At 43.0% G+C, this 9521-nt stretch overlaps 1 annotated feature.

Annotated features, from left to right (window-relative positions):
• Positions 539–1293: an enhancer, noted in NCBI's record as "OCT4-NANOG-H3K27ac hESC enhancer chr10:88183258-88184012 (GRCh37/hg19 assembly coordinates)". NCBI's record gives its function as "activates a minimal SCP1, AML or CMV promoter by ChIP-STARR-seq in naive H9 embryonic stem cells {active_cell/tissue: H9 hESC(naive)}" and the evidence as "EXISTENCE:reporter gene assay evidence [ECO:0000049][PMID:30033119]".

Raw genomic sequence — 9521 nt, 5'->3', positions numbered from 1 at the left:
ACAGGTGTGAACCACCGTTCCTGGCAATATTATTCTTTTCTATGGCTGAATAATATTCCACTGTGTATCTATACCACATTTTCTTTTTCTTTTCTTTTTTTCTTTTTTCTTTTTTTTTTTTTTGAGATGGAGTCTCACTCTGTCACCCAGGCTGAGTGCAGTGGCATGATCTCAGCTCACTGCAACCTCTGCCTCCCCGGTCCAAGCGAGTCTCCTGCCTCAGCCTCCTCAGTAGCTGGGATTACAGGTGCGTGCCACCACACCAGGCTAATTTTTGTATTTTTAGTAGAGATGAGGTTTCTCCGTGTTGGCCAGGCTGGTCTTGAACTCCTGATCTCAAGTGATCCGCTCGCCTTGGCCCTGAAAAGTGCTGGGATTACGGGCGTGAGCCACTGTGCCTGGCCACCACCTTTCTTTATCCATTTATCCGTTGGTAGACACAGTGGAATTGTTGATTCCATATCTTGGCTATTGTGAACAGTGCTGCAATAAACATGAGAGTGCAGATATATCTCCAGTATGATGATTTCCTTTCTTTTGGGTAGATACCCAACAGTGGGATTGAAACCGTTAACAGGTCTGTTACCTGATGTACCCAGCAAGTTAATACCCTGAGAATGTTAATATTCTCTGGGTTGCAGCAGATAAAGAGGTTTAATTATAGGGTTGCCGAACGAGGAGATGGAAAGAAAGTTCAAATGCATTTCTCTGAGGAGTTTGGGCTAAGGTATTTAAGGGTTCCGGAGTGAGCTGAAGTGTGGAGATCATTGATTGGTCCAGGAGGGAAGGGTGAAGTCATAGGATAGGATGAAGAAACGATTCTCATGTTGATTCTATTCCTCTGTGGGGGTCTTTGAACTGGTGTTTTGGTGGAATTGGGGATCTGAAAAACATCTTGAGCAATTCTTAAACAATAGCCTCATGGTTTTAACATCAGTTCTGTCTCTGCAGGAACAATGGGGATGCAAATAGTCAGACAACGGTGCTACAGGGACTTCCAGTTACAAGGATGTGGACCAAAGTGCAGCCTGATTATAACTCCATTTCTGTCCAGAATTCTTCTTAACCCTGTGAGGATGACTTCAGGACTCCTGGATCATATTGCACTTCTGTATTTAGTTTTTCGAGGAACCTGTTTTCCATAGTGGCTGTACGAGTTTACATTCCCACCAGCAGTGTACCAGTTCTCCGAGACAGGCTTGCCGGCATCGTCAGTTTTGGCTTTTTGATAATAGCCATTTAAACTGGGGTGAGATGATCTCTCATTGTGGTTTTGATTTGTGTTTCTCCGATGATGTTGAGCATTTTTTTCTTTTTCTTTTTTCTTTTTTCTTTTTTTTTTTTTTTTAATAGAGACAGGATTTCACCATGTTGCCCAGGCTGGTCTTGTACTCCTGGGCTCAAGCGATCCTCCTGCCTCAGCCTCCCAAAGTGCTGGGATTACAAGCATGAGCTACTGCACCTGACCTAAATTTTTTTTTAATAGAAATGGGGGGCATTTTTTCATATACCTGATGACCATTTGTATGTCTTCTTTTGAAAAATGTGTAATCAGGTGTACTCCCATTTAAAAACCTGATTCTTTGTATTTTTTCTATTGGGTTGTTTAGATTCCTTATGTATTCTGGTTATTTTAGTCCCTTGTCAGTTGAATAGTTTGCAAATATTTTCTGTTATTCTGTAGGTTGTCTCTCCCCTTTGTTGATTGTTTCCTTTGCTGTGCAGAAGTGTTTTAGCTTCACTTGATCCAATTTACCCATTTTTGCTTTGATTGCCGTGATTTTGAGGTGTTACTCAAGAAATCTTTGTCCAGACCAATGTCCTGAAGCATTTCCTCAATGTCTTTTCCTAGTAGTTTTATAGTTTCAGGTCTTACATTTAAATCATTAATCGATTTTGATTTAATTTTTGTATATGGCGAGACATAGGGGTCTAGTTTTGTTCTTGTGCATATGGATATCTGGTTTACCAGGCACCATTTGTTGAAAAGACTGTCCTTTCTCCAATGTATGTTCCTGGCACCTTTGTTGAAAATGAGTTGATTGTAAATGCATGGATTTATTGGAATTTTGTACTCTGCTGGTGGGGAATGTGAGGTGGAAGAACCACTTCAGAAAACTCTTTGCCAGTTTCTTTTTTTTTCTTTCTTTCTTTTCTGCTTTCTTCTTTCTTTTTCTTTTCTTTTTTTTTTTTTTTTTTTTTTTGGAGAAAGGGTCTTGCTCTGCAACCCAGGCTGGAGTACAGTGACATGATCTTGGCTCACTGCAGCCTCAACCTCCCAGGCTCAAGCGATCCTCCCACCTCAGCCTCTCAAGTAGCTGGGACTACAGGCACACATCATGACGTCTGGTTAATTTTTTGTATTTTTTGTAGGGACAGGATTTCACCATTTTGTCCAGGCTGCTTTCGAACTCCTGAGCTCAAGCAATCCACCTGCCTTGGCCTCCTAAAGTGTTGAGATTACAGGTGTGAGCCACTGCCCTGGCCTGTTTGTCAGTTTCTTAAACACACACTTTGTATATCACCCATACATTTCACTGCTAGGTATTTACTGAAGACAAACGAAAGCACATTGTCATACAAAGACTTGCTGGTGCTGGATGTTAATCATGGGGGAGGCTGTTCATGCTGCGGGCACGAAGGTACCTAGGAAATCTCTGCACCTTCCACTCAATTTTCCTGTAAAACTAAAACTACTCTAAAAAATTAAGTCTTATTTTTTTTTTTTTTTTGAGATGGAGTCTTGCTCTGTGGCCCAGGCTGGAGTGCAATGGCTTGATCTCAGCTCACTGTAACCTCTGCCTCCTGGGTTCAAGTGATTCTCCTGCCTCAGCCTTCTGAGTAGCTGGGATTACGGGTACATGCCACCATGCCCAGCTGATTTTTGTAGTTTTAGTAGAGACAAAGTTTTACCATGTTGGCCAGGCTGGTCTTGAACTTGTGACCTTGTGATCTGCCCACTTCAGCCTCCCAAAGTGCTGGGATTACAGGCATGAGCCACCACAGCCAGCCATAATTTTTTTTTTTTTTTTTTTTAAATTAGAACTAGGCTGAGCGTGGTGGCTCACACCTCTAATATCAGTATTTTTGGGAGGCCGAGGAGGGTGGATCACTTTATCCCAGGAGTTCGAGATCATCCTGGGCAACATGGTGAAACCGCATCTCTATGAAATATACAAAATTAGTCGGGTATGGTGGCATGCAACTGTAGTCCCAGCTACTTGAGAGGCTGATGGGGGAGGATCAGTTCAACCCAGGAGGTGGAAAGTGCAGTGAGCCCGGATTGAGCCACTGCACTCCAGCCTAGGTGAAAGAGTGAGATCCTCACCCTCAGGTACTGCTTTATAGCAATGCAAAACAGATGAATGCACCTTCCTATAAAGAAAACACTTGGCCCATTTACTTTTACTGGTGAGTTTTCCAACATTTTAAGAAAAAGGTAACAACGGTGTTATACAAAACTCTTTAAGGAAATAGAAAAAGAGGAAATACTTTTCCAACCCATTTTATGAGACCCATTTGTCCCTGACACCAAACCCTGACGTGGACATTGTAAGAAAGAAAGATTGTACTGTAGTCCAATCTTTCATGGCTTGGACGTGAAATGCTAATAAAAAGTTAGCCAGTAAATTACAGCAATATATAAAAATGTGGCTGGGCGCGGTGGCTCACACCTGTAATCCCAGCACTTTGGGAAGCCAAGGCAGGTAGATGACCTGAGGTCAGGAGTTTGAGATCAGCCTGGTGAAACCCTGTCTCTACTAAAAATACAAAAATTAGCCGGGTGTGGTGGCACGTACCTGTGATCCCAGCTACTTGGGAGGCTGAGGCAGGAGAATTGCTTAAATCTGAGAGGTGGAGGTTGCAGTGAGCTGAGATCACGCGACTGCACTCCAGCCTGGTTGACGGAGCGAGACTCTGTCTCAAAAAAGAAAAAAAAAAGTGAACACCTCACAACCAAGTTGCCTTTATATTAGGAAAACAGCCCATCATCTGTGTGCAAAAAAGCTTCTGCACACCCCTGATCTCAGCCTGTGGCCTCTTCTTTTCCCTCCCTCACTTCTTGGTGGTCTTAATGGCTTGGAATAACCCATAAGACCACCAAGACTCATGACTTGGAACACCACCTATGTGTTGATGACTCCCAAATTTGTAGCTTCAATCCTAACATTTTCCTAACTGTACACATCCAGGCGCCCATCCACCCTTTCCCCTTGGATGTCTTACAGGCATCTCCTAACTCCTGTCGAAACTATACTCTGAGACCCTCCCAAACAATCTGTATGTAACCCATGAGACTTTCATAGCTCAGTTCCCTTCATTGAGCTCCTAGGCACCAAACATGGAACAATTTTGACACCACCTCCCTTTATATAATTCATTTATTACCCTCTCACTTCCATTTCAAATTATGCCCAGAATCTGACTACCTCTCACCGCCTCTTCTCACTGCCAGATAGCATATTTTTATTATGTATCTGCTAGCATGTAAGCTTCATGAAGGCAGGAGCTTTATGTCTTTCATTACTGCTAAATTCCAGTGCCCAGAACAGGGCCTGACACATAGTAGGAACCCCGTCAATGTAATTTTTTTAAATGAGACAGGGTCTCACTCTCTCAGGCTGGAGTGCAGAGTCGTGATCACGGCTCATTGCAGCCTTGACCTCCCCAGGCTCAAGCAATCCTCTCATCTCAGCCTCCCAAGCAGTTAGAACTACAGACATGTGCCACCACCCCAGCTAATTTTTTGGTGTGTTTTGTAGAAACAGGGTTTGCTATGTTGCCCAGGCTGCTCATGAACTCCTGGAGTCAAGTGATCCACCCACCCGGTCTCCCAAAGTGCTGGGATTACAGGCGTGAGCCACCATACCCAGCCCCCTTCAATATTTTTACAAATAATGACCTATAGTGTTTTTAAATACATCACACATCTTAAAAGATTGATACCATCTCCTTTGTAAGGATGTTGAGCCACAGGTGCACATTCATAAACTGTGTGTGAGTGTAAATTGTTACAGCTTTTTAAAAAATAGACTTTATGCCGGGCATGGTGGCTCATGCCTGTAATCCCAGCACTTTGGGAGGCCGAGGTGGGTGGATCACGAGGTCACGAGTTCAAGACCAGCCTGGCCAACATGGTGAAACCCCGTCTCTACTAAAAATACAAAAATTAGCCGGGCATGCTGGCTCACACCTGTAATCCCAGCTACTCAGGAAGCTGAGGCAGGAGAATTGCTTGAACCAGGGAGGTGAAGGTTGCAGTGAGCTGAGTTCGAGCCATTGTACTCCAGCCTGGGCAACAGGGCAAGACTCAGATTCAAAAAAAAAAAAAAAAAAAAGACTTTATTTTTTAGAGTAGTTTTAGTTTTACAGCAAAATTGAGTGGAAGGTGCAGAGATTTCCCAGGTATCCCTGTGCCTGCAACATGCACAGCCTCCCCCATGATCAACATCCTGCACCAGTGTCGTGCATTTGCTACAATCAGTAAACATGACACATCATTGTCACTCAGAGTCCAAGTTTACAGCAGGCTCACTCATGGCCTTCTACGCTCTGTGGGTTTGAACAAATGTACAATGACATCTATCCACCATGTTAGTGGCATGCAGAGTACTTTCACTGCCCTAAAAATGTTTTGTACTCCACCTATTTATCCTCCCTCAGTGTGACAGCCTTTTTAGAGGTCAACTTGAGGGTATCTATTGAAATTTTAAAGATGTGTATCTTTTGACCCAGAAATTTTATTTCTTGTAATCCATTGGAGAAAACACTTGCATTGTACACAAAGAATAAATATGAATATGTTCTCTGCAACATCTAAATAGTGAAAAATGAAAACTCCTTGAATGCCCCTGAGTAAGGAGATTGTTGCTGAACAAAGTGTGGTCCTTCTTTGCATGGAATATCACACAGCAGTAAAAAGAAAGAGCTCGTTCTTGTGCTGACAAGGAAAGAGAAAGTCATACTTTTAAGAGGGAAATTTAAGTGGCATAGTCATATGTACAGTGTGTTCTATCAGTTAAAGTATATGTATATAATTTCTATACATGCTTGTGAGTGCATAGATGGAAAAATTCTGAAAGGTTAAATATCAGACTCATAGTTACTATTTCTGGGGGATGAGATGAAGGGAGATACAAGGCAAATTGTGTTTATTCTGTATTGATTTGGATTTCTTAATTTCTCTCTCCCCCCCCTTCTCTCTCTTCCTCCTTTATTTCTCTTTCTTTCTTTCTTCCTTCCTTCTTTCCTTCCTCCCCTCCGTCCTTCCCTCCTTTCTTTCTCTCTCTCTTTCTTTCTTTCTTCTTTTTCTTCTTTCTTTTTTTCTTCTTTTCTTCTTTTTTTTTTGTGGAGACAGGGTCTCACTGTGTTGCCCAGGCTGGAGTGCAGTGGTGCTATCATAGCTCACTGCAGCCTAGAACTCCTGGACTCAGGTGATTCTCCCACCTATAGGAAGTATAGGCATGCACCTGGAACTACAGGCATATGCACCACTACGCCCAGCTAATTTTTTTTTATTTTTGTAGAGACAGGGTCTCACTCTGTTGCCCAGACTGGTCTTGAATTCCTGAGCTCAAGTGATCCTCCCACCTTGGCCTCCCAAAGTGCTGGGATTACAGGTGTGAGCCACCACACCCAGCCTGGACTTCTTTTAAATGAGAATATACCTATTCATTTCCTGTGTATTAAAAATAAGTTGAAAAAGGCAGGAAAACAAATGAACAGACAAAAAGTTGGTATCACTAGCATTGTTATTTAGAAGGGGTCAGCAGAGGGTGCTGAATATTGAGTCATATCTAAATGATGACCTGCTTACGTTCAAGAGCAGCTAGAAATCCACACTTAGGTTAGTTAGAATAGTCCTGATAGCTCAGTGGAAACCTGACCTCTGTGAAGCAGATTAGTATTCTTTATTGCCAGAGGCAGTGGATATAATAACCATGTTATCTATAGCTAACAGTTCCTGTGTGGTTTACAGGTAATGTATATTTCAACAAGCATCATGCAAATGAGTTAATGCTAAAATGAGCCCACTCCTTCATTCTTTAGGAATATGAGCAAAATTAAGAATGGTTCTTGGATCTGTTTACTGAACGTCTTGATTCTCTAAAACAATCCTCAGCCAGTCACAGTGGCTCATGCCTGTAATCTCAGCACTTTGGGAGGCTGAGGCAGGAGGATCGCTTGAACTCAGGAGATCGAGACCAGCCTGGGCAACATAGCAAGACCTTGTCTCTACTAAAAATAAAATTAAAAAAAATTAGCTAGGCATGGTGGTGCTCCTGTAGTCTCAGCTACTTGAGGGGCTGTGGTGTGAGGATCTCTTGAGCCCAGGAGGTAGAGACTGCAGTGAGCCAAGATTGTGCCACTGCATTGCAGGATGGGCAACAGAGCAAGACTGTCTCAAAAATAAGTAAATACATGGCTGGGCATGGTGGCTCACACCTGTAATCCCAGCACTTTGGGAGGCTGAGGTGGGCGGATCACCTGAGGTCAGGAGTTCCAGACCAGCCTGGCCAACATGGTGAACCCCATCTCTACTAAAAATACAAAAAAGTAGATGGGCATGGTGGCACGTGCCTGTAATCCCAGCTACTCAGGAGGCTGAGGCAGGAGAATCGCTTGAACCCAGGAGGCAGAGGTTGCAATGAGCTGAGATTGTGCCACTGCACTCCAGCCTGGGTGACAGAGCAAGACTCCATTTCAAAAATAATTAAATAAATACATAAATAATAAAATGATCTTAGAAAAGAGTGGCTAATAGTGAAAACAGTCAATATCCAAATTAGTCTGTTCAGGGTATTTAAAGTGTTTAAAGACACCTGGAACAGGGGAGTAACTCAAACCGCGCAAAGATGTTGTGAGAATGTAGCCATTGTCCGCTGATTAACAATCAAGACTTAGGAAGCAGCAGGTGAGACAGTCTAAGCCCACCTGTAAAGAAGATTGGTGTGCTTTGAAAATGATCCCTTTAGCTGTCCAGTAACACTAACTGATCGCCTGATTGAAAACCTAAACTTCTCTGAGAATAGAAAACAACAGAATTTTTACTGCGGGTTTTTCTCACAACCACCCCGAGGAATTTCTGATTTGCAAAACTGGAGAGTTGAGCTCTGAAATGGGGATGTACTGAAATGAAGTTATCACTTTCCAGTGAGACTGAGCTTTTTACTTTCCTAGTCACAAGCCTTTGAATGTACTAAAAAGCCCGGGCGCGGTGGCTCACACCTGTAATCCCAGCACTTTGGGAGACTGAGGTGGGTGGATCACCCGGGAGGCAGAGGTTGGAGTTCCTGAGGTCAGGAGTTCCAGACCAGCCTAACCAATATGGTGAAACCCCATCTCTACTAAAATACAAAAATTAGCGGGCATGGTGGTGCACGCCTATAATCCCAGCTACTCAGGAGGCTGAGGCGGGAGAATCGCTTGAACCTGGGAGGCGGAGGTTGCAGTGAGCCGAGATCATGCCACTGCACTCCAGCCTGGGCAACAGAGTGAGGGCAACAGCCTGGGCAACAGAGTAGGCAACAGATATGACTCAATATTCAGCACCCTCTGCCGACCCCTTCTAAGTAACAATGCTATTGATACCAACAGAAAGAAAGTGCTTAAAAAAAAATTTAAGGTGATTTTGGGGAGGACAATTGCAATATGAAATGAAAAATCAGCACAAATCCTAAGGTATGTGGCTTTTGGGGTTTTATTTGAGGAGTTTTTTCCTGGACTCAACTGTTGAGATTGGGAGGGCATGACCATGTCAAGGGTCTGGCGTGTGCTGAGTGCTTTCACGTAACTCTTCTGACATAATTTCTCCAGCATCCTAGGAGGATGGGTGGGTGGTATCTGCATTTTACAGAGAAATAAATCCCGTGTCGTGAGTCTGGGTTAGCCACCTGAGGTCACATGCAGGCAGGATCAGAATTTGAAACCAGGTCTGCTTGATTCCCACAGCAGCTGGGGGTTCCGAGACCCCATGCTGTCCTTCCTGGGTGGCCACTCCTGTAGCCTCTGTGTACGCATTCCCGAATTTTTCTGTTTCATGGTTTTTCCTGTTCAGATAAAGTTTGTTGAGGGCAGGAAGTTGGTTTTATTCATGTTTGAATACTCAGTGTCCTACTGAAACTATCTCAAAATAACTTTTTATTTTTATCTCAACCAATTGCTAAAATAAATTCTGATTCCTCATAGCAAGGATGAAACCACTTAAAGTTCCAAGAGAGACATTAGAAGCAGGAGAATTTCAGGAGAGACATAGTAAAGAAAAATATATTAAGAGAATGGACCTCACGGGTTTGAGTGTTCTAGGAATCAATTCTTGAGTCAATTGGCACCTTGTGATGAAGGGAAGATAAATACTTAGAAAAATAAGCAAATTATTAACCTAGAGGAAATAAAGTTTCATGAGAAAATAAATGCAATCATAGTATAGTATAAATGGCTCACTGGGTAATATTTACACAGCTGTAATCATGAATGTTGAATACTGAGTATTGATCTCACCGAAACTTGTGATAGAGCTT

The sequence above is a fragment of the Homo sapiens genome, chromosome 10 (genome assembly GCF_000001405.40).
Source record: "Homo sapiens chromosome 10, GRCh38.p14 Primary Assembly".
Classification (NCBI taxonomy): Eukaryota; Metazoa; Chordata; class Mammalia; order Primates; family Hominidae; genus Homo; species Homo sapiens.
This window is presented reverse-complemented; position numbering and strand designations above follow the sequence as displayed.